Raw genomic sequence first — 23,910 nt, forward strand, 5'->3', positions numbered from 1 at the left:
GGTATAAATATCCCCCTATTTATACACAAGGGAAAAGGTTAGAGAAATTTAGTTACTTGCTGGTAGTATGTGGCACAGCTGGCTTCACACCCAAGACTGGTGGTACCAAAGTTCATGCTGTCAGCCCTCAGGTATTTGCACAGGACTGTAAGGGCACTAAGCATGTGCAGGCCTCAGGGTCTTTGTTTAAAGATCCATCTCATTGCATTAGGCCTGGGGCCATCCAGTAACAGGAATGAACCTCGGGACATTCACTCAGAGTTCATGTAATAGGACCTTCACCTTATCAGCCCTCATAGTAGTTTACAAGAAAAACCACAGCTGTCGATTCATTACTGCTTCCATATATATGTATTTTTTCTCTTGTTGCCCAGGCTGGAGTGCAATGATGTGATCTCGGCTCACCGCAACCTCCACCTCCCAGGTTCGAGCAATTATCCTGCCTCAGCCTCCCGAGTAGCTGGGATTACAGGCACGTGCCACCATGCCTGGCTAATTTTGTATTTTTAGTAGAGATGGGGTTTCTCCATGTTGGCCAGGCTGGTCTCGAACTCCCGACCTCAGGTGATCTGCTCGCCTCAGCCTCCCAAAGTGCTGGGATTACAGGCATGAGCCACCGTGCCTGGCCTATTTCTTTATATTTGAGAGAGGGTCTTGCTCTGTTGCCCAGGTTGGAGTGTAGTGGTAGTCATAGCTCAGTTACTTTGAGCTCCTGGGCTCAAGCGATCTTCCAGCCTCAGCCTCCTGAGTAGCTGGGACTATAGGCACATACCACCAGGTCCTGCTAATTTTATTTTTTGTAGAGATGGCATTTCACTGTGTTGCCAGGCTGGTCTTGAACTCTTAGGCTCATGCAGTCCTCCTGCCTTGGCCTCTCAAAGTGCTGGGATTACAGGCCTGAGCCACCACATCCAGCCACATTTAGGAACTTTAGCAATTAAGAGAACTGGACTGCCCTCTCAGACCTCCAAGTGGAAAGACTTCATTGAAGTCAGCAGGGTTTCCATTAAGTGAGAAGACACACTGTTAGGAAAGTGTGGTCCTAGTAACTGCATCTTATTTCCAAGAAGCCCGCAGGCTTTCCTGGCACCTGGTCTAAGGGATCCTCTGGTAGAGGACAGGCATTCTGTCATGGTGAATAATGAATGAGAGTGAAAGGAAGTAACTTGGGTTATTGAGTTCTATGAGTATAACTCTACTGGACAATGAATAAAACATTGTGAGGGAAATTGCTCTTAGATTCTGCTTGATGCCTCCTGCAAGAAGCAGAAAGGTGTGTATCCCAGCAAGTGATTTGATCTTCTTCAACAAATTCCTTAGTATAGCAAGTATAATTTCCTCACAACCTTGTTGGGAATACAAATGTTAGGCTTGAGGACTGAGCTCATTAAACAAAAACAACTGTCTTGATGAGAAGCTAAGTTTTATTATTATAATTACAAATTAATTACAGAGAAACTGAAGCCATTCTTCATACATGACAAACATACATTTCCTCTGTGTGTACAGCACACAAGTAATATACACAAATATATTCCATGTCTGAACAAATCCTTTTTAAAACTTTAAAAGCTGGCTGGGCACAGTGGCTCACGCCTGTAATCCCGGCACTTTGGGAGGCCAAGGCGGGTGGATCACAAGGTGAGAAGATCGAGACCATCCTGGCTAACACGGTGAAACCCCGTCTCTACTAAAAATACAAAAAATTAGCCATGCATGGTGGCACATGCCTGTAGTCCCAGCTACTGGGGAGGCTGAGGAAGGAGAATCACTTGAACCTGGGAGGCAGAGGTTGCAGTGAGCCAAGATTGCACCACCACACTCCAGCCTGGGTGACAGAGCGAGATTCTGTCTTAAAAAATAAAACAAAAACAAAAAAAAAAACAACTTTAAAAGCCAAGATAGTAGCTTATTAAAATTTGAATACAGTACATGTTTCTAGTCATGAACTCTGTGGTTTCTTCTCATGACCAAGATATTCAGTTCCATGACACCATTTTCCTTGTCTACAGTAGTGATACAGAGTTTGTCAGACTTTTTTTTTTTTTTTGAGACGGAGTCTCGCTCTGTCGCCCAGGCTTGAGTGCAGTGGTGTGATCTCGACTCACTGCAAGCTCCGCCTCCCGGGTTCACGCCATTCTCCTGCCTCAGCCTCCCGAGTAGCTGGAACTACAGACGCCTGCCACCACGCCCGGCTAATTTTTTGTACTTTTAGTAGAGACGGGGTTTCACCGTGTTAGCCAGGATGGTCTCGATCTCCTGACCTCATGATCTGCCCGCCTAGGCCTCCCAAAGTGCTGGGATTACAGGCATGAGCCACCACACCCAGCCCAGACTTACTTTTTTTAAAATAAGACTACCAGAGGCCGGGTGCAGTGGCTCAGTTTGGGAGGCCAAGGTGGGAGGATTGCTTGAGTCCAAGAGTTTAAGACCAGTCTGAGCAACATAGTGAGACCCCATTTCATTAAAAAAAAAAAAAGATAAAATAAGACTATCATATAGAGCTGTGTAATGTAGTGAGCCTACATTACAAAAATATATACAACCACACAGAGAATATGTAATTACACCTTGCCTATATCCATAAATGATTTGAAGCAGGTAACACATTTGCTTTTAAATGCCATTTACAACATAGACTCTTGAATGACATGAATTTGAAAATGAAGTATTTTTTCAGACTTAAAACGTTGATGTGCTAATGTAGCTTACTTTAAAAAATGATTTCCAAGTGGGGAACCAACTACATTGGGAAAAGACAGTCAGATTCAAGGACAGTGTCATAAAATTGCTGGTTTTCCTTAGTCACCCTGACTTTATTTTTTTGAGACAGAGTCTCGCTCTGTCACTCAGGTTGGAATGCAGTGGCGCGATCTCGGCTCACCGCAATCTCTGCCTCCCGGGTTCAAGCGATTCTCCTGCCTCAGCCTCCCAAGTAGCTGGGACTACAGGCACATGCCACAGTTCCCAGCTAATTTTTGTAATTTTAGTAGAGACAGGGTTTCACCATATTGGTCAGGCTGGTCTGGAACTCCTGACCTCAGGTGATCCACCTGCCTCGGCCTCTCAAAGTGCTGGGATTACAGGCATGAGCCATCGTGCCCAGCCACTCTCACTTTAATACTATGAAAAATGCTACTTAGATTTTTTTCTATACTGCCTACATTCCAAGTTATTAAAGTTTAAAACCGTATGAAAGCATTTATGAAGATTCTGAATTGTATTTCTCATTAAAAGAAAAGAAATGTGAGTCATGTCCCGAGGCTTATGTAGAGGAGAAAGCAGAAGGCCATTGTCAGTCATTTTGAAAGTTAAAACTCAGCACTTAATGTGAATTTAGATCCATTTAAGAGAGGATTCCTCAGTTTTATGGGTTTGTGCTCCTCTGAGCATCCTCAGGGAAGTGAGAACACAAGACTTCTGTTCTTCTAAGCAAAAATCATTATCAAATGAATTTATTAAAGAGCTATCCCGAGCAAATTGCAATTGTATGTATGTAGCTACATAGGCTTCCATGGGAATTGTAAATGGCTAGCTGAGGGCACTTTCAATTGATTCAGAGTAAAACAATCTGAGGCTTGTAACAAATGTACAAAAAACTAAAATCAATGAGTAACTCTAATAGGAAGAAACTGTTTGCATTCCTTATGTTACAGTTTGCTTGTAAACTGTATGTACTTTGTTTCTTTTCTCAACACTGTTTTAAAACTCCAGCATTTTCACCTAAAAGAAAACACAGGCTCTTCATAAATACCTGTGAACAAATAAATGAAATGGTGACTGAAGGCGATTTCTGCAGTAGCTTTCTCTCAGAGATAATTATTTTTTTTTTTGAGACAGAGTCTCGCTCTGTCGCCCAGGCTGGAGTGCAGTGGCGCGATCTCGGCTCACTGCAAGCTCCACCTCCTGGGTTCACGCCACTCTCCTGCCTCAGCCTCCAGAGTAGCTGGGACTACAGGCGCCCGCCACCATGCCCGGCTAATTTTTTGTATTTTAGTAGAGACGGGCTTTCACTGTGTTAGCCAGGATGGTCTCGATCTCCTGACCTCATGATCTGCCCGCCTCAGCCTCCCAAAGTGCTGGGATTACAGGCTTGAGCCACTGCGCCCAGCTCAAAGATAATATTTTATCTTGAAGCTAGTGCATCGATTTGTAAAGCTCATTTAATTTTCTACATACTCAGGATTTGCATATTGACTTAAAATCTGACTTTATCATCCATGCCGTTATCAACTAGACAAAAAAATGTATCAAGCACCCACAGGATGCACAGATCTATCTCTGAACTGGTGTAGTGGTATTAATCTGTTCTAAGACTAGAATTACATTTTTTTTTTTAAGAAGCTACAGTCCACTGAAAAGGAAGTATTATGGTTTTTCTGAGAAGAAAAGTTGCTAAATACTGCAGCAAACTCAGGCTTTTCCTGAGAAAAGCCACAAACAAAATCATCTCTGAAATTTTTTAAGCAACAACTTCCTGAAGCGTGGAATTTATGGGGCCAGTGAGACACTAAAATTTCACAACTCTCACATACATTATCTATCTAGGACTCAGTGAAGATGTTCTTCAGATTTTTATTTAAGTTAAATTGGTAAAATACAAAAAGAAAATCTGGATTGAGTTTCAAATCATCTTAAATAGCAATCCTATGAACAATTATAACTGCAATTTCAAACACTAAGACTTAAATATACAACTTGATCATACAATTATCTCAAAACATATGATCAAAAACTTTGGTCAAGAGCTTCTTTCATGAATTCTTCAAGGACAGCTATCACATTTTTGGCTTCAGGCATTTCTTCATGTTCCACTTTAACAATCTTCAAAAGTATATCTCCACTACCACAGTTCTTTAGGAACATGTAACATTTAAACAAAGCATAATGATTCATTTCTGCCTGTCGGATAAATCTCTTCAAATTGTTTGTGTCTTGTATGGCCTAGAAAATGATTACCCAGTTAAAAATGTGTTAAGTGAAATAATAATGAAGCTCAAAAAATAACTCCTATCCAGCTGAGAACTCAACATATCTTCCTGAATTGTTTGCTTTTCATATTAAATATTTCCAAAATTTAAATTGCAGTATGCTTTGCCCTTGGTAGAAGAAGAAAATCTCCTTTTTTTTCTTGTTTCGCTCTTGTTGCCCAGGCTGAAGCGCAATGGCTTGATCTCGGTTCACCACAAACTCTGCCTCCTGGGTTCAAGTGATTCTCCTGCCTCAGCCTCCCAAGTACCTGGGACTACAGGTGTGTGCCACCACACCAGGCTAATTTTGTATTTTCAGTAGAGACGGGGTTTCACCATGTTGGTCAGGCTGGTCTCGAACTTCTGACCTCAAGTGATCCACCCGCCTCAGCCTCCCAAAGTGTTGGAATTACAGGCGTGAGCCACCACGCGCAGCCAAAAATCTCTTATACAAAATAAAAATACTTTAAAATAATCTACCTAGCATGGTGGCTCATGTCTGTAATCCCAACACTTTGGGAGCCCCAGGCAAAAGGATTGCCTAAGGGCCGGTAGTTTGAGACTAGCCTGGGCAACACAGCAAGACCCCGTCTCTACAAAAAATAAAAATAATTAGCTGAGTGTGGTGGTGCACACCTGTAGTTCCAGCTACTCAGGAGGCTGAGACAGGAAGACTGCTTGAACCCAGGAGGTTAAGGCTGCAGTAAGCCATGATTGCACCACTGCACTCTAGCCTGAGTGACAGAGTAAGATTCTGTCTCTTAAAACAAACAAACAAAACTAAATAAGGTGACAACACGTCCCCATCAGAATTTTTTTTTTTTAGACAGAGTCTCACTCTGTCACCTAGGTCGGAGTGCAGTGGCACAATCTGGGCTCACTGCAACCTCTGCCTCCTGGGTTCAAGCAATTTTCGTGCCTCAGCCACCTGACATAGCCAGGATTACAGGCATGCGCCACCAGGCCCAGCTAATTTTTATAATTTTAGTAGAGAAAGGGTTTTGCCATGTTGGCCAGGCTGGTCTTGAACTCCTGGCCTCAAGCAATCCACCTGCCATGGTCTCCCAAAGTGCTGGGATTACAGGGGTGAGCCACTGCGCCCAGCCCCCATCAGAATTTTGAAAACTTAGCCACTGAACCAGTTTTTTTGTGCTTTCCAACTAAGTTAAGTCACAAATTGTAAGACTGATGTTCCTTAAATATAAGCAAGCATTCAACCCAATTTATTAGAAATGATATGTATACAGAAGCTGCCAAAAAATAAAGTAAATGTCTTCTGATAATTCCAGTTTTGAGAACATCCTAATTAACAGACATCACAGCTATAAAGCAATTTGTTACTCTGTCACTGGTACTAATTAAAATTCAGACAAAAATTTCATGTGGCACTTGGCACACAGCCAACTAATTACCTTTAGTTTAAAGTTCTCCAGTACTTGTCGGAAAAGAAAAGGGTTACCTCCTTTGGCACCATTTAAAAAAGCTTGCATCCAATCCTCACAAAACCGGTTACTTCCTATAAAACATTTCAGAGAGACTAAATAAAATGAAATTTTACAAAGCTTTATTTATTTATTTATTTGAGACGGGAGATTCGCTCTTGTTGCCCGGCTGGAGTGCAGCCGGAGTACTAACTATATCGTTAGTAGAGATGGGGTTTCACCATATTGGCCAGGCTGGTCTCAAACTCCTGACCTCAGATGATCCACCTGCCTCAGCCTCCCAAAGTGCTGGGATTACATGTGTGAGCCACTGCGCCTGACCCATTTATTTCTTTATAAAAACACCTATAATGAATTATTTAAGACATGTATAATGGCCTAAAAAAACAGTGTGCTCACCACATGGCTAAGGAATACCAAAATGGCTGAAGCCCCCTGTATGCCCCTTCCCAATCACATCCCCCTTCCTTTCCCATCAGAGAGGATAATCATTCCCACAGACGTCTTTAAACTTTTCCCATATACCTTTGCACGTGTAAGCCTTATCTACATTATTCTGCATATGTTAAAACTTTTATGTATTTTTTCTTTTATGGCTATTTCACTAAATAGTATGTTTGAGAGCTATATTGACACAAGTAGCTCTAGTTCATTCTTTTTCACTGCTCTGTTATATTCCATTGCATGAATATAGCAGCTTATCAGTTTTCTTGTTGATAAACACTTAAATTGCTTCCAATTCCTTGCTTTTTCAAGTAATGCCTTTATGGACATTTTAAAATTCATCTCCTTGTGTACACATACTAGAATTTCTTTATGTACCTAGGTGTGGAATTGCTAGGCATGGCATGATTTCCATGTTTCTAGAATTATATTGTTTTCACCAAGTGGTTTCTCATGGTTTGAGATAACCATGTAAAACTGCACAAGGCAGGAAGAATAAGGTTGTATCATAGGCTCTCAGTGCAAAGATGGGGACTCGCAAGAGATGTAGGAAGGCTGCTTCAGAGGTTGTAGCTCACCTGCATTGCAGAACTGAGGCTGGGAGCTGCTGCAATCGATGACCACAGACTTATGCTGCTCCTCTGTCATGGCCATGCACAAAGAAGTCATGGTGCCTTCATGAATAAGTCCTTGAAGACTGGCCACACTCAGAAACCTGCCACACACACAAGTCCATTTCCACAAACAATATTGCAGGACGGAAGGATGAAAACAAATTTATTTTGCACTGGGCTGGTGGGGAAGGGATGGAAGGAGCAGTTTACAAACACAGATGTCAATCTTGCTGTGGAAAAGCTTTTCTCTTTGAAAAAACTGTTCTTTACCTGTTAATGTCTCTCTTTGTTTTTTCATCTGATTCTTTAACTTCAACAGGAGTGTAACTCAAAGCCTATGAGAGAAAAATAAAGCCTGATTGGTACATATATTCCAGTTTTTCTTGAGCAGCTACTCATGACTAAATGTCCCCATAAGTCCCTACCACACTGGACAACAATTGATGGGCACTGGTCACAAGCTCTCCAGAGCCTTGTTCAGCCACTGCTCATTAACATTTTATAGAATCAAAATTGCTCTGGATTTTTGTTTTCCTTTTCAAATTGTTTTGGAAACTATACCTTTCCCAGATCACTTGGAAAAGTAATTATTTTAAAATGTTTTATCCTATTAGGAAGACTCAGCATTTGAAATTCAACTCTACCTTAGTAATATCACTTTCTAGATCTGAGAAAATAAAGTGTGGTCTATCTTGATAGCAAGCATAGTTTGAATATTTGGGGAGGGATGGGAGTCATGTTCAGAGAAAATGAGTATGTTTCTAAATCATCCAAAGTGATTCTCAGTTAAGGAAATGCTCTCATTTGGCAGTACTTACAGCATGTAGCAGAAAGGTAAGCTTTTCCTGAAAGAGAAGAACAACCCTTTGGATTGGGCATACAACATCCTCAAACCAGCTGCTCAGATAGGATTTTATGTGACTCTCCAGGCCCCTTGCCTAAATCAAGAAAGAACATCATTTGCTTTAATATAAGCCTTTCCTTTAGTGGACTTCATATTTTCTTCATCATATCCTTGATGGTGAAAAAGACCAGGATAGACACCTCCCTTTTTAAAGCTAACACCACCAATTCAAAAAAAGAAATTGTGATATACCTTTCCTGGCTTGTTGGGCAGGGTGAGGGTTAAATCTGTACTGAATTTATTTAAAACACACCAAGAAATGCATTCTATAAAATGAAGAGACTGAATAGGGTTCCATGCTATTTCTTCACAGGGAAGAGTTGGGCACTCACAAGTCCCTCTCCTCCCACTGTACTGTGCACTCAATGGAGATACTCACTCAATAATCCTCATTTCCCTGGCACCTGTGGTACAGTGTCTAAAACATGCATAGTATGAGCTTATTAAGTGCCTTTTGAATTAGTCATGTAGATAGAGAATTCATTCGTATTCAGAATGTGAATGGGGAAGGATACAAGTAACTCATCAAAGCACTCCACTCCACTCCAGATGTCAGACATGCTACCGTGAGCACATCTGGCTTTCTAGGCTATACTGCTCCCTGAAGACTAGTGTCACACACGAAGAGCTCTAGTCCGGGAGAACAACTCTATTAGACTTGCATCAGTTGCTCACTCCTGCACTATCCCTTCCTCTCTCCTGCAGTATCTTCTAAGTATGTGAAAAGTATAACTTCTACTATATATGTAATGGGTAGTAAATTTGTGAGAGTCATGACTAACAACTGCTACAAGCTGAAAGCATTGTTTTTGTTTGCTTTTTTGAGACAGGGTCTCACTCTGTCATCCAGGCTGGAGTGCAGTGGTGCAATCATAGCTCACTGCAGCCTCAACTTCCCAGGCTCAAGCGATCCTCCCACCTCAGCCTCCCAAGTAGCTGGGACTACAGGTGCGTGCCACCATGCCTGGCTAATTTTTGTATTTGTTGTAGAGATGGGGTTTCACTTTGTTGCCCAGGCTGGCCTTGAACTCCTGGGCTCAAGTGATCTGCCCGCTTTGGCCTCTCAAAGTGCTGAGATTACAGGTGTGAGCCACCACACCCAGCCAGTTTTTCAAAGGTTTGAATAAGTTGATATGGATATGCCTAATTCATAAAAGATCAATTAATGAAAATAGAATGTTTTTAAGAATCTTTGATGTTTAGTTCAAGAACAGCCATACTATTGCATAGCATGTCTTTGGTGCCAGAGGCTGCATGGACCAGTACTTCTGACCATAATATAAATCTTATATGCCTAGAAATCAGGAAAAGGACATCCTCTTCCTCGCCAGGCATGTTACTACATGCCATTGAATAGATCGAATTTTTCATAGATACAAAACATCAGACGTAGTCTTGTGAAACTTTCAGCACTTACAGGACTATGTTTCCTGTATCCCTTTAAGATCACCTGTAGGCTGGGTGCAGTGGTTCATACCTGTAATCCCAGCACTTTGGGAGGCCGAGGCAGGTGGATTACTTGAGCTCAGCAGTTCAAGAGTTCAAGACAAGCCTGGGCAATATGGCAAAACCCCACCTCTACCAAAAATACAATTAGCTGGGCATGGTGGTGCATGCCTGTGGTACCAGCTACTTGGGAGGCTGAGGTGGGAGGATCGCTGGAGCCCAGAAAAGGCTGCAGTAAGCCATGATCGTGCCACTGCACTCCAGCCTGGGTGATAGAGTGAGACCCTATCTCAAAAAATGAAAAAGAAAAAGAAACCACCTGTAGGCTGGGCACAATGGCTCGTGTCTGTAATCTCAGCACTTTGGGTGGCTGAGGAGGGAGGATTGCTTGAGGCCAGGAATCCTAGACCAGCCTGGGCAACAAAGTGAGATCCCCATCTCGACAAAAAATACCAAAAGTTAGCCAGGCGTGTTGGTATTTGCCTGTAGTCCCAGCTGTTTAGGAGGCTGAGGCGAGAAGACTGCTTGAGCCCCAAGAAGCTGAGGCTGCAGTGAGCCTGATCGCGCCACTGCCCTGCAGCCTGGGCAACAAAGCAAGACCCTGTCTAAAAAAAAAAAAAATTCACCTCTCTACTAGCTCACAAGGTGGCAAGTTTCTAGAATACAGGCGTCTTTGTGTCTACCTATATGATTTGACAAGTAGAGCAATCACAGTATATTAATCATTTCAGTCATTATTTTATTTTTTTAACTCTGTCGCTCAGGCTGGAGTGCAGTGGTGCAATCTCGGCTCACTGAAACCTCTGCCTCCCGGGTTCAAGCGATTCTCCTGCCTCAGCCTCCCAAGTAGCTGGGACTACAGGTGCCTGCCACCATGCCTGGCTAAGTTTTAGTAGAGATGAAGTTTCATCATATTGACCAGGCTGGTCTCTGACCTTGTGATCTGCCCACCTCGGCCTCCCAAAGTGCTGGGATTACAGGCGTGAGCCACTGAGCCTGGCCCCATTTCAGTCTTTAAAAACCATTAAGTCAGTCACCTTACCTCACAATTCATGTTATTTTTCAGCCCTTGAATGTACTTGTCCAATTCAAGCCTGAAAGTATGTTCTTAAGGAAGCAATAAAGGATGAATAATGAAGACAGTATTTCATCTCTCAACAAGAAATATAAAATCTCTCAAATAATGTGAGCTGCAAATGCAAACAAGCCAAGGCAAAATGGCCACATGAAGGTATGAAATTCAACTAAATACACGAGGAGTAGAAAAGCTTTTTGGAGGTTGGTAGTAATATTCTTCCACCTGCCTTCCCATGTTTTCCTTCCTGATGTTCTCAAAAACCAAAGAAAGGATATAGCTCAAGTCCTTTTTCAGACCCTCCTAAAAAACAGACCACATATTCTGAAGGGTTACGTTCAGAGTCTATCGTTACTGTTTCAGGAAGCAGTTTTTCATTTTGGAAAAGGCAGTAATAACAACCAACTCGGTAACCTGGAATTCTAGAAAAGAAAGAAAATGTAAAATGCATTATTTTGGTTACTCATGCATCTATAATTTTGTGGACTGCTCTGAATTCTGGTCATCTTGATCTGGCAACACCATTAAACTGCCCACTAACTCAGAGCTTCCCAGACTTCTCGTTGGTGTACTTGCAGCAGCAAAGAAAAATGAATGTATACCCTGGAGGGCTTTAGTTAAAGCAGCCACTAACATACATGAAATTTCTTTGAATTCTCCTGTCTTATGTGAAAAATTCACACAAATTTCACTCTAGTTCATACCCATGTTTATATTAAAAAAAAGTATGTTCTCCCCTCTCCCAAAGCTTCACAAATTGATGTTTAAGGCAGATGTGCCTGAAGGTGGCCTTATCCTTGGGAAGTGGCCTCAAACTCCTGAGGACCTGTATGCTAACTTCACGGTCTGAGTTGAACTAGAATAAAGAGGTGTAATGGAGGCCGGGCACAGTGGCTCACACCTGTAATCCCAGCACTTTGGGAGGCCAAGGCGGGTGAATCACCTGAGGTCAGGAGTTCGAGACCAGCCTGGCCAACATGGTGAAACCCCATCTCTACTAAAAATACAAAAATTAGCCGGGTATGGTGGTGCATGCCTGTAATCCCAGCTATTCGGGAGGCTGAGGCAGGAGAATTGCTTGAACCAGGGAGGCGGAGGTTGCAGTAAGCCAAGATCATGCTACTGTACTCCAGTCTGGGCAACAGAGTGAGACTCTGTCTTAAAAAAAACAAAACAAAACAAAAAAGGAGAGGTGTAATGGAAAGACAGTTGGAATTGGACTAAGAATGCTCATGTTTAAGCCTGAACTCCATCAATTTGACCAGCCTCATGACTTAAGTTTACATAAACTCTGAGTTTATTTCCTCATCTGAAAATGAAAATAAGAGAGTATCTGCTATATTTCCCCTTTGTAAGGAAAACTACATAAAAGTTTGTGAAAATACAAACTGTATACAAATTTAGTTTTAATAATCAACACTTTTCTTCTTCTAAGTACAAAACTTATTAGCCTGGGCAACATGGTAGGACCCCATTTCTAAAAAAAAAAAAAAAAAAAAATTAAAAAAATTGCTGGGCATCGTAGTGCCTGCCTGCAGTCCCAGCTACTTGGGAGGCTGAGGTGAGAGGATTGATTAAGCCCAGGAGGTCAAGGCTGCAGTGAGCTGTAATCGGGCCGCTGCACTCCAGCCTGGGCAACAAAGCAAGACCCTGTCTCAAAAAAAAATAAACTAATTAAATAAAGTGCAATTGGGTGCCAGGGTCTCTGCCATTCAATTAATTCCATTCCACAAATGTTTATGTGTGAGGCCCAGTGCTCGGGCTGCCAGAGAATAAAGACAAATTCTGCAGGTCTAGTAGGAGCTGATCTTTTGGAGTTTCTCATCACTTCTCATATTTAGTTCAGAAATAAAAACTCAGGACACAGCACATTTTGCACTTACTTTAGCTCCACAGATGCAACATTACCCAGCCCTTCAAAGACTGCACCTCTTGAAAGACGCTTAGCAATGAAACTGCGCAGCTCTGGCTCCACTTCGGATGGTAGATTAGTATCTGCCAAGGAGAGGCTTGACAAATGAAAGACACACATTCTTTACCAGTGGACTAGGGTATTCACACCCATTAAGTCAGACAGAATGGTACCAACGCCAGGGGCTCTTTTAAGGACTGGGGAAAGCTGTCCTTATGACCCCTATTGGTGAGGCTTCTAGGAATGTATGTCACTAAGTATGATCTACCTCATCAAATAGCTTAAAATATTCCTATCTTTCCAGCTCATTCTCTCCAGTACTGTGACTCCACTGGAACCCCCAATCCACTGACCCTACCTCTTTTTCAGTCTCTCAAGTTTCTCATCTCACTTCCCTCCTTATTCTGCCTTAATTCCATGGTCAGTCATTATAATCACACCCCTGCACACATTCTTATCTTTTTTATCTTTCAACTTTATTGAGGTATAATTGATGATTTAAAAATTTCAGGGCTGGGGCCGGGAGCAGTGGCTCACGCCTGTAATCTCAGCACTTTGGGAGGCCGAGGCAGGTGGACCACAAGGTCAAGAGATAGAGATCATCCTGGCTAACACAGTGAAACCCCGTCTCTACTAAAAAAAAATACAAAAAAATTAGCCGGGCGTGGTGGTGGGTGCCTGTAGTCCTAGCTACTCGGGAGGCTGAGGCAGGAGAATGGCGTGAACCCGGGAGGCAGAGCTTGCAGTGAGCTGAGATCGCACCACTGCACTCCAGACTGGGCAACAGAGGGAGACTCTGTCTCAAAAAAAAAAAAAAATTTTTCAGGGCTGGGCAAGGTGGCTCATGCCTGTAATCCCAACACTTTGCGAGGCAGAAGTGGGCGGATCACTTGAGTCCAGGAGTTCAAGACCAGCCTGGGCAACATGGTGAAACCCCATCTCTACCAGAAATACAAAAATTAGCCAGGCGTGGTGGTCAGTAGTCCCAGCTACTGGGGAGGCTGAGGTGAGAGGATCACCTGAGGCCGGGGAGGTTGACGCTGCAGCGAGCCAAAGTCATGCCACTGCACTCCAGCCTGGGCAGCAGAGCAAGACCCTGTCTCAATTTAAAAGGAAAAAGAAAAAAAAAGGATTTCTTTTTGGCTAATCACCAAGCACACTATCAGTATGTGGATTTGTTTGCCCCAGCCTTGAATGAACCAGCCAATGAGGAAATCAGGATGAGGTTCCTAGGGGATAGGAGGAATTGACGGTTTGACTCAGGGAAAGCTCAGTGGAAATAGAGTATCCACTGACATGTACAGGCCAGAGATGCAGGGAAGATGAAAGCACATGCATGAATTATGCTGAAGCTCTTTTTACCTGAAATCATCACCAGAGGGAGTTTCTGCATTTGTGCCACTTGGGCTTCCGTCCTCACTGTCCCCTCGTTGCTGTGCCAATCTACAAGCCACAAAACCAATAGTGCTATCAATTATGGGCTCTAAACCAAGAGGAGTATGGGGGCCTGGCAAGCAGGGTAAGGCAAGGAGTCAACTAAAAATGCTGCAAGGTGGAAGTGCACTGCCTATCCTCATGACAAGGAAAACCCATACAGCAGTGCTGACAAGAGCCCCTTCTCTCTCCAGGCCACTTAACGGGTGGAGGAAAGGCTAAATACCCAGAAGGTTCAAGGAAACTCCTTTAAAAACCAAACTTGACAAGGCCAAGAAGGTTCCAGGAAAGTCAGAAGGAGGAAAAAGAGGAATCAAGAACAGAGGAAAACCAGAGGGTGGGGATGGGGGTGTGTGTGACAGAAATGGGAGAAGTGGGGAGATAATGACAGAAAGGAGAGGGGACGGGAACTGAAATTATTGAGCATGCGGGGCACTGCGCTAAACAAAGGGCAGCCGCGAGAGTAAGAGGCTGGGATGATATAGGGGCAGATGAAGGGCACAGGCATGGTTGGGCCAGGCATACAAGTCCACGACGGGGGCCAGGAAGAGCAGCGGGAGGCGAGGAGCGCCCTTCAGGCCAGAGACCTTGGCTGGGAGAGGAGAAGATGGCTTTTAGGAGCGGCCGGGCCGCTGGGCCGGGGGTGGGGTGCAAGGCCGGGCGGCGGGCCGGGGGCGGGGCCGCAGGGGCGGGCGGGCTGGCAGGCCGAGCTGGGCGCCAGCACCTGCTTCCGCGATAGCTGTAAAGACAGTAGTGGCTGCTGGACGGCGGCTCGAGTCTCCGCTCCTCGGCTGAGCCTCCCTCTTCGCTGCTCTCTAGTTCCTTTTCATCTCCATCCATCGACTCCTGCAAAGAGGGGAGCATTGCGGCGGCCTCTGAGCGGCCCTGTGTCTCCGCCAAACCGCTCCCCTGCTCCCGTGCAGCCGTCGGTATCAGGGCTCGTCCGGCTCCCGGCCCTCGCACACCTGCGTTCCGCTGGTTTCCCCGGGTTCGCAGGCAAGGACTGGCCTGGAAAGGGAGTCTCTTCTCCCCACAGGGGCTGACAGGCGTACTGAGTTCGCCTTTACTGACAAGCTTTTACCATTTATTTTGAACTTATTTTCCTTTGAGACATCTGGGAAACTTTCTATGTGATAAAGGTGGCACAACTACCTAGCCACATGGAAAAGAATAAGGCTACTCGTCTGCCTCCTTGCGCGCGTGCCAGCACGCACAGACACCCGTTTGATCAAAAAGTTAAGAATTTAAAATGAATTTTGTTAAAGTGAAAATATGGGATAATTTTGTTAATTCTTGAAGAGGGTCTTTCCAAACATAACAAAACACTTAGAAGTCATACAGGAAAACGTTTAAAAAAATGACTACGTAAAAACTAAAAGGCCGGGCACGGTGGCTCACGCCTGTAATTCCAGTGCTTTGGGAGACCGACGCAGGCGGATCACTTGAGGTCAGAAGTTCAAGACCAGCCTGGGCAACATGGTGAAACTGTGTCTCTACTAAAAGTACAAAAAAATTAGCCACGTGTGGTGGTTCACGCCTGTAATGCCAGCTACCCTTCCAGTCTCTGCCCATTACCCAGTTCTAACACCAATTCACATTTTCAGGTGTTTGTTTCTGCAACACCCCATTCTCTGGTACCAGTTTTCTGTCTCAGTCCATTTTATGATGCTATAAAAGGATACCAAAGACTGGGCAATTTATAATTAGCTCTTAAAGGCCCCACTTCTTAATAGTCTTACAATGGCAATTACATTTCAACATGAATTTGGGAGTGGACAAACACTCAAACCATAGCGCCACGTGAAGGAGGAGGCAGACTGGAGTGATGTATCTACAAACCAAGGAATGTCAAGGATTGATGGTCATCACCAGAAGCTAGGAGAGGACATGGAACAGATTCTCCCCTAGAGGCTTCAAGAGAGTATGTCCCCACCAGCACCTCCATGTCAACTTCCAGCCTCCAGAACTGTGAAATAATACATTTCCATTGTTTTAAGCCACCGTGTGTGTGTGCATGCGTGTGTTTTGTGTTTTTTTTTTTTATTTTTAGTAGTGCAAACTTTATTCATAAATAAAACTTCATAAAGTTAAAAGCAGGGGCAGTTCCTATTTTTAAAAAGGAATAGTGGAAGGCAACCTGCCATTTCATTTAAAATTACAAGTTAGGTTTTTCAGATGGATAACAGTTGAGATCGTTAAATCCCCTTCCTGCTTCTCAGATTTTCACAAAATAGCACATTAAATCCTCAGTCCTAAGCAATTATGGCAGAGATTCCAAATTGCCTCTCCATATCAAAGTGGATAGCACAGTTTCTTCTCTTGCAATAAAGGTACTCATTTGATGAACAAGTGAGTATAGCAGTCAGATTCTTAAAAGATTGTATTGCAGAAGTTACTGCCATGTCTTCATTCGCAATGGGTATCCTCACCTCTATCTCCCATTCAGTAACATTGTCAGTTTCCTTATCTCTCATTTCAACTACATTTAAAAGAGGATTCTGATTGCGGACAACACATGACAGAGGCATTTCAGATCGGCAGTAGTCTCTTGAGATATACTTGATTTTAGTTTTAAGCAGAAGAACTTCCTGGAGAGGTTGAGTTACCACAGTCATGAGGATGGTAGAAAAACTCATAGTAGATATTTGGCAAAACTAGGTTACAAGGCAGCCATCTCCTAGAAACACTTCATCGGGGTTCATATACAAATTGTGAAATATCGTGGGTTTAATCCTGGCACAGAACCAAAACTGGGTGCATTGTACTTGAATAGCCGACCAGTCCCCAGCACAGGTCCATATCAAGGAATTGAGAAAAAAGAGCCCATTTAACCGCAAAATGGTCTTCATTTGCCCAGACTGAAAGCCAAATCTCACTCAGGAAACAGCTGTATTTTTATTTTTTATAGAGACAGTGTATCACTTTGTTGCTCAGGCTGGTCTTGAACTCCTGGGCTCAAGTGATCCTTCTGCCCCATCCTCCCGAAGTGCTGACATTACAGGTGTGAGCCACCATGCCCAGGTGGTACGTGTTATAGCAGCCATAAGAAACTAATACAGTGGCTGGGTGTGGTGGCTCACGCCTGTAATCCCAGCACTTTGGGAGGCCGAGGCAGGCGGATCACAAGGTCAGGAGATCGAGACCATCCTGGCTAATACGGTGAAACCCCATCTCTACTAAAAATACAAAAAATTAGCCCAGTGAGGTGGTGGGCACCTGTAGTCCCAGCTAGTTGGGAGGCTGAGGCAGGAGAATGGCATGAACCTGGGAGGCAGAGTGCACTCCAGCCTGGGCCATAGAGCCAGACTCTGTCTCAAAAAAAAAAAAAAAAAGAAAGAAAGAAACTAATACGGCCGGGCGTGGTGACTCACACCTGTAATCCCAGCACTTTGGGAGGCCGAGGTGGGTGGATCACTAGGTCAGGAGTTTGAAGCCAGCCTGGCCAATATGGTGAAATCCCATCTCTACTGAAAATACAAAAGTTAGCCTGGCATGGTGGCACACACCTGTAGTCACAGCTACTCAGGAGGCTGAGGCAGAAGACTCACTTGAACCCGGGAGGCAGAGGTTGCAGTGAGCCGAAATCATGCCACTGCACTCCAGCCTGGGTGACAGAGTGAGACTCTGTCTCAAAAAAAAATAAATAAAAATAAAAAAAGAAAGAAAGGAAGTAATAGAGTCCCCCCCAACAACCCTTTCTTCTATTCTTATCTGGATTTCTTCACATTCTTCCCTGTTAATCCCATTTTTTCTAGATTATGGTTTATTCTCTTGATTTGCTCAAGTACTGCCTCCAATATTAGCCAAGAAAGGGTATATATAAAATAATTTTTAAGCTCTTGCATGTCTGAAAATATATCCTCACGTCTTTATTGTATTTTCACATTTGATTGGATATTCCTTAGAAATAGAATTTTAGGGGCCAGGCATGGTGGCACACACCTGTAATCCCAGCACTTTGGGAGGCTGAGGCAGGCGGATCACAAGGTCAGGAGTTCGAGACCAGCCTGGCCAACATGGTGAAACCCCGTCTCTATTAAAAACACAAAAATTAGCCAGGCCTGGTGGTGCACGCCTGTGATCCCAGCTACTCAGAAGGCTGAGGCAGAAGAATCACTTGAACCTGGGAGGCAGAGGTTGCAGTGAGCCAAGATCATGCCACTGCTCTCCAGCCTGGGCAACAGAGTAAGACTCCATCTCAGGGGGGAAAAAAGAAATAGAATTTTAGATTGATATGATTGGACATCGAATTCTAGGTTGAAAAGAATTCCCCTGGCCGGGCGCGGTGGCTCACACCTGTAATCCCAGCACTTTGGAAGGCTGAGGCAGGCAGATCACAAGGTCAGGAGATTGAGACCACCCTGGCCAACATGGTGAAACCCTGTCTCTACTAAAAATATAAGAATTAGGCGGGCGTGGTGGCGCATGCCTGTAGTCCCAGCTACTCGGGAGTCTGAGGCAGCAGAATCCCCATGTTCGTCAGGCTGGTCTTGAACTCCTGACCTCGTGATCTGCCCTCTTCGGCTTCCCAAAGTGCTGGGATTACAGGCATGAGCCACCGTGCCTGGTCCGAATCAACCATTTCTCCAAGGACCTCAGGTTGCTTTTACTGGAGAATGGTATTACAAACCAAGATCTCTGGACAAAGTATGCTTGATATGGGACATTATTGCTTCTAGGCCCTCTCAGCTGATATATGTATCTATACTAACTTTAGTATATACACATATCCATAAATATTTCTCTATGTATCTATTTTAAAATAAACACGAGTTCATTCTGGTGTCTCCAGCTCTAATCCATGGCCGCATGGATCATTCTAGCCTCCTCCCCTTGCTTATCTATAAACTCACTACAACGAGAGGCACAGCATGGTGGCTCACGCTTGTTAATCTTAACACTTAGAAGCTAAGGCAGGAGGATCACTTGAGCCCAGGAGTTCAAGACCAGCCTGGACAACAAAGCGAGACCTTACCTCTACAAAAAACACAAAAATTAGCAAGGCATGGTGGCATGGCCCTGTAGTCCCTGCTACTCCGTGGGCTGAGGTGGGAGGATCCATTGAGCCCAGGAGATCAAGGCTGCAGTGTGCTACGATTGCACCACTGCACACTACCAGCCTGGGCCACCGAAACCCAGCTAATTTTTAATTTTTTCATAGAGACAGGATATTGCTTTGTTGCCCAGGCTCGCCTTAAACTTCTGGCTTCAAGTGATTCTCCCACCTCAGCCTCCCAAGGTACTGGGATTACAGGAATGGGCTAGCGCACCAGGCCTTCTTTAATTTCTAACAGCAATTTTTTTTTGTTTTTTTTTGAGACGCAGTCTCGCTCTGTTGCCAGGCTGGAGTGCAGTGGCACGATCTCGGCTCACTGCAACCTCTGCCTCCCAGGTTCAAGCGATTCTCCTGCCTCAGCCTCCCGAGTAGCTGGAACTACAGGCACACGCCACTAGGCCCAGCTAATTTTTGTATTTTTAGCAGAGACAGGGTTTCACCATGTTGGCCAGGATGGTCTCAATCTCTTGACCTCAGGTGATCCGCCTGCCTAAGCCTCCCAACTAACAGCAATATTTTATTGCTTATTGCTTTCATAGTAAAAGTGTTTTAATCTGTTTATGGTGCTGTAACAAACACCACAGACTGGGGAATTTATGAATAACAGAATTGTATTTCTTTCTTTCTTTTTTTTTTTGGAGCTGGAGTCTCACTCTGACACCAAGGCTGGAGTACAGTGGCACAATCTCAGCTCACTGCAACCTCCACCTGCCAGGTTCAAGCCTCAGCCTGGGTTCTACTGTCTCAGCCTCCTGAGTAGCTGGGATGACAGGCACCCACCACAATGCCCAGCTAATTTTTGTATTTTCAGTAGAGACAGGATTTTGCCATGTTGGCAAGGCTGGTCTCGAACTCTTGATCTCAGGTGATCAACCCACATCGGCCTCCCAAAGTGCTGGGATTACAGGCATGAGCCACCACACCTGGCCAGAATTTTATTTCTTTTCTTTCTTTTTTTTCCCCCGAGATGGAGTTTCACTCTTATTGCACAGGCTGGAGTGCAATGGCGCAATCTCGGCTCACTACAACCTCCGCCTCCTGGGTTCAAGTGATTCTCCTGCCTCAGCCTCCAGAGTAGCTGGGATTACAGGCGCCCGCCACCACACTCAGCTATTTTTTTTGTATTTTTTAGTAGAGACAGGGTTTCATCATGTTGGCCAGGCTGGTCTCGAACTCCTGACCTCAGGTGATCCACCTACCTCAGCCTCCCAAAGTGTTGGGATTACAGGGGTGAGCCACCACCACACCCACTGAATTATATTTTCTTATAGTCTGGAAATTTGGAAATCCAAGATCAAGGCACTAATACTCAGTGTCTGATGAGGGCATTCTTGCTGCATCCTCATTTGGTTGAGGCAAGAGAGAGTAGAGTTTAGTTCCTTCCAGCACTTTAATAAAATCACTAATCCCCCCCCACCCAGTTTACTCATGATTTAATCACCTGCTAAAGGTCCCAACTCTTAATGCTATCACATTGGTGATTACGTTTCAAGCAGTTGGGGGGATATTCAGCACATTGCAATACGGTTTTAAACTTTTTCATTTTTCAATTTATTTTTTCATAGAGATGGTCTCACTATGGTGCCCAGGTTGGTCTCACACTCCTGGCCTCAAGCCACCCTCTTGCCTCAGTCTCCCAAAGCACGGCAATTACAGGCTTGAGCAACTGCACCCAGCCTGAACTTTTTTTTTTTTTTTCTTTTTGAGACAGAGTCTTGCTCTGTCGCCCGGACTGGAGTGCAGCAGAGTGATCTCGGCTCACTGCAGCCTCCGCCTCCCGGGTTCAAGCGATTCTCCTGCCTCAGCCTCCGGAGTAGCTGGGATTACAGGCGTGCCCCACCACGCCTGGCTAATTTTTTTTTGGTATTTTTAGTAAAGACCGGGTTTCACCATGTTGGCCAGGCTGGTCTTCAACTCCTGATCTCAGGTGATCCACCCGCCTCAGCCTCCCACAGTGCTGGGATTACAGGTGTGAGCCACTGCGCACAGCCCAAACTGATCCTTTAAAATTCAAATTTAATTCAGCTCCACACATACTTTGTGTTTTGGGGCAAATTATTCCAGCTCTCTTAAGTCTCTTTTATCTCATCTCTATTAACAAGTTGACAATAATGGCTCCTACCCCAGAGGCTGAGACAAATAATGTTAAAACTCACTACAATGCTTGGCACACGGTAGGTGCTCCATGGATGTCTGCTATTATTTTTTGCTTTTAATAGTAACATAATTTACATTACTAGTTATTATTATATGCTAAGCTCTGTTTTAAGTGCAGCCAAGATGAAGTTTAACTGCCTTGCCCAAAGTCAGGCAGCTAAGCAGTGGCACTGGTGGACTATGAACCCAAGCACTGGACTTTTAACCACCTCTCACTTGCATGATCCTCCAGTTGCCCTCTTAGAACCACTGTGCCTTCTCAGAGACTTCAGCTGAAATCCAACTTCTGAGAATGCTTCTAGGGTTCGCCAGAACCCGCCTTTGCTAGCCTCCCTAGGATTATCTCTTGTGACCAGCACCTTCACTGACAGCTCCAGTCTTTTTTTTTTTTTTTTGAGACGGAGTCTCACTCTGTCACCCAGGCTGGAATGCAATGGCGAGATCTCGGCTCACTGCAACCTTCACCTCCCAGGTCCAAGTGATTCTCCTGCCTCATTCTCCCGAGTAGCTGAGGTTACAGGCGCCTGCCACTACGCCTGGCTAATTTTTGTATTTTTAGTAGAGACAGGGTTTCACCATGTCGGCCAGGCTGGTCTCGAACTCCTGACCTCAAGTGATCCGCCTGCCTCGGCCTTGGCCCATAGTGTTGGGATTACTGGCGTGAGCAACCGCGCCCGGCTATCAGCTCCAGTCTTACCACGATTAGTTTTTCACGTGCCCAGCCTCAAAGACTTAAACTCTTTGCTCCCTTACGGAGATACCCTTTCCTTCACCTTGCTTGCTCCCGTTGACTCCTCAAGAAACCTTTCTTATGTCGGGCGCAGCGGCTCAAGCCTGCAATCCAGCACTTTGGGAGGCCGAGGCGGGCGGATCACTTGAGCCCAGGAGTTCGAGACCAGCCTCGCTAACATGGTGAAACCCCATTCTACTAAAAATACAAAAATTAGCCGGGCTTGGTGGCGCGGGCCTGCAGTCCCAGCTACTCGGGAGGCTGAGGTAGGAGAATCGCTTGAACCCGGGAGACGGAGGTTGCAGTGAGCAGAGATCGCGCCGCTGCACTCCAGCCTGGGAGACAGAGCGAGACTTGGTCTCAGAAAAATAAAACAAAACAAAGAAAAACAAAACTTTACTTGACAACCCAACGACCACTACCACTACAGCCGCCCTAGGACTCCCGCTCTCTGAGGTCCTACAGCACTTCGCATTTCCCTCAACGCCGCACTGAGAACTCTGCATTGTGTACTCGTCTGTCACCAATCTGCGAGTTACAAAGCAGAGACTAACTTATTTGGTTTAGCATTTAATAGGCACATAATCAACATTTACTGTTCAATTGAAACAAAATTAAAATTGGGCGCTGTCTCTATCTTTATTTGTGATCGGCCCTAACTGCACTGGCAATCTTTTCCGTTTTTTTGTTTTCTGTTTTCCATTCGCATGCCCCTTAGCGTACCTGGGGCTCCGGCTCCTTTACAAATGAAACCCAAAGTGCTCCGCAAGCACAGCCAGCGAAAGCGAAAAACTCTGAAACGGACAAGATGGCTGCCACCTCTTCGCGCCTCTTAGTCCCACCCACTCAGGGCGGAGGTCTGCGTCATGTGACCCTCCCCTTCTTGGCTCCGCCTCCTACCGCAGTGCTTGACGGGAGGCGGAGCGGGGAACGAGGCCGTCGGCCATTTTGTGTCTGCTTCCTGTGGGACGTGGTGGTAGCCGTTGGGTTGGGAAAGTGAGGGATTTTTGGCCTCGTTTCTCCTGCTTCTTTTCTCCTCCCTTTTACTTTGCCGGTAGAACACAGTTATGGGTCGCAAGAAGAAGAAGCAGCTGAAGCCGTGGTGCTGGTATCCTTTGTCGGTTTGAAGTCGAGGTCGCGTTGGGGTGCCGGTTGTTGGGGCCTGGGACTAGGAGGCCTGGATTTGGCTTACGGCGTGGAGCGTTTGTATTTAGGCGTCTGCGTGGGTGGCCTGGTGGCTGGGATTGGACTTGGGAAGGCTTCTAGGAAAATGGGGTTCCGAGGTCGACAGGCTTTTGCAGTTGTGGGTCGTGTGACTCTGTGACTCAGGAGGATCTTGTTCGGTGCGAATTTTGGACTCCGGGAGGCGGCCTGGACCCCTCCGCCAGGGACAGTGTCCCCTAGGGACTATTCAGCCACCTTCCGTTGTTTTGGTGACGATTCAACAAGGGACTTTTCTTCGAGTGCGATAGGCTTATTACTTTCATGGAGGGTTGGGGACAGCTTCACAGTCTGTCACCCACTTTTTCTGTTTTTATTTACTTTATGTGTGTTTTGTGTTTATTTTTTCGAATTGGCGGTTTAGTAAAGAACCAAGTTAGTCAACCCTGGTTTCGAACCTTTTTTTTTTTTTTTTTCTTTTCGGGGCGGGAGGAGAACTAGCTTCCGTGTCTCACCCAGAGGCGCCTTAATCTTCAGGAAGCGTTCTCACAGGGCGGAGTTTCTG

General features: G+C 45.0%; 2 protein-coding genes, 1 non-coding gene and 1 pseudogene across 8 annotated transcripts in view, besides 6 other annotated features; 2 read left to right on the top strand and 2 right to left on the bottom strand.

Annotated features, from left to right (window-relative positions):
- Positions 1-1,406: 1,406 nt before the first annotated feature.
- C17orf75 (chromosome 17 open reading frame 75) lies at positions 1,407-22,980 on the bottom strand. Of its 4 annotated transcripts, XM_005258022.5 has the most exons (11): positions 22,908-22,980; positions 14,966-15,087; positions 14,170-14,250; positions 12,779-12,904; positions 11,174-11,317; positions 10,863-10,920; positions 8,289-8,408; positions 7,741-7,805; positions 7,435-7,571; positions 6,383-6,486; positions 1,407-4,944 (listed from the first exon to the last, which is right to left on the bottom strand). In XM_005258022.5, exons 2-11 carry the CDS (start codon positions 15,079-15,081, stop codon positions 4,729-4,731), a joined length of 1,167 nt encoding a protein of 388 aa, XP_005258079.1. In that variant the 5' UTR covers positions 15,082-15,087; positions 22,908-22,980; the 3' UTR covers positions 1,407-4,728. The 4 variants fall into 4 exon arrangements, with proteins under 4 accessions (XP_005258079.1, NP_071739.2, XP_016880430.1 ...); NM_022344.4 differs by lacking the exon at positions 22,908-22,980 and having other exon boundaries at positions 14,966-15,139; XM_017024941.3 differs by lacking the exons at positions 14,966-15,087; positions 22,908-22,980 and adding an exon at positions 14,829-14,919.
- Positions 14,169-14,351: a silencer, noted in NCBI's record as "fragment chr17:30668222-30668404 (GRCh37/hg19 assembly coordinates)". NCBI's record gives its function as "represses an EF-1alpha promoter that drives an FKBP-Casp9 reporter gene in an ReSE screen in HepG2 liver carcinoma cells {active_cell/tissue: HepG2}" and the evidence as "EXISTENCE:reporter gene assay evidence [ECO:0000049][PMID:32094911]".
- Positions 14,820-15,706: an enhancer, noted in NCBI's record as "H3K27ac hESC enhancer chr17:30668873-30669759 (GRCh37/hg19 assembly coordinates)". NCBI's record gives its function as "activates a minimal SCP1, AML or CMV promoter by ChIP-STARR-seq in naive H9 embryonic stem cells {active_cell/tissue: H9 hESC(naive)}" and the evidence as "EXISTENCE:reporter gene assay evidence [ECO:0000049][PMID:30033119]".
- Positions 14,846-14,925: a silencer, noted in NCBI's record as "silent region_8420". NCBI's record gives its function as "represses an Ori minimal core promoter by ATAC-STARR-seq in GM12878 lymphoblastoid cells {active_cell/tissue: GM12878}" and the evidence as "EXISTENCE:reporter gene assay evidence [ECO:0000049][PMID:35858748]".
- Positions 16,740-17,090, bottom strand: OOSP1P2 (oocyte secreted protein 1 pseudogene 2; annotated as a pseudogene).
- Positions 19,383-19,564: a silencer, noted in NCBI's record as "fragment chr17:30673436-30673617 (GRCh37/hg19 assembly coordinates)". NCBI's record gives its function as "represses an EF-1alpha promoter that drives an FKBP-Casp9 reporter gene in an ReSE screen in K562 erythroleukemia cells {active_cell/tissue: K562}" and the evidence as "EXISTENCE:reporter gene assay evidence [ECO:0000049][PMID:32094911]".
- Positions 22,573-22,692: an enhancer, noted in NCBI's record as "active region_12028". NCBI's record gives its function as "activates an Ori minimal core promoter by ATAC-STARR-seq in GM12878 lymphoblastoid cells {active_cell/tissue: GM12878}" and the evidence as "EXISTENCE:reporter gene assay evidence [ECO:0000049][PMID:35858748]".
- Positions 22,863-23,212: an enhancer, noted in NCBI's record as "active region_12029". NCBI's record gives its function as "activates an Ori minimal core promoter by ATAC-STARR-seq in GM12878 lymphoblastoid cells {active_cell/tissue: GM12878}" and the evidence as "EXISTENCE:reporter gene assay evidence [ECO:0000049][PMID:35858748]".
- MIR632 (microRNA 632) lies at positions 23,075-23,168 on the top strand. Its single transcript, NR_030362.1, has one exon. It is a non-coding gene; the product is annotated as a microRNA 632 (primary transcript).
- The window catches only part of ZNF207 (zinc finger protein 207), a 31,729-nt gene continuing 30,941 nt past the window's right edge, over positions 23,123-23,910 (top strand). For all 3 annotated transcript variants that reach the window (NM_001098507.2, NM_001032293.3, NM_003457.4), the window contains exon 1: positions 23,123-23,292. In NM_001098507.2, coding sequence (NP_001091977.1) covers positions 23,252-23,292 — 41 coding nt within the window. In that variant the 5' untranslated portion in view covers positions 23,123-23,251. The remainder of the gene's footprint in view (positions 23,293-23,910) is intronic.

Source organism: Homo sapiens, chromosome 17 (genome assembly GCF_000001405.40).
Source record: "Homo sapiens chromosome 17, GRCh38.p14 Primary Assembly".
NCBI lineage: Eukaryota > Metazoa > Chordata > Mammalia > Primates > Hominidae > Homo > Homo sapiens.

Bases quoted from the DNA above. Each gene is read 5' to 3' on its own strand.
- C17orf75 (NM_022344.4), bottom strand. From the start codon at position 15,105: ATGCTCCCCTCTTTGCAGGAGTCGATGGATGGAGATGAAAAGGAACTA. The intron at 10,921-11,173 runs ATATCCTTTCTT...TTAAGAACATAC, and splicing joins TCTGAAAAAGGACTTGAGCT to TTTCAGGCTTGAATTGGACA. The intron at 7,806-8,288 runs GTAAGTACTGCC...TTTCTCTCATAG, and splicing joins TTACCTTTCTGCTACATGCT to GCTTTGAGTTACACTCCTGT.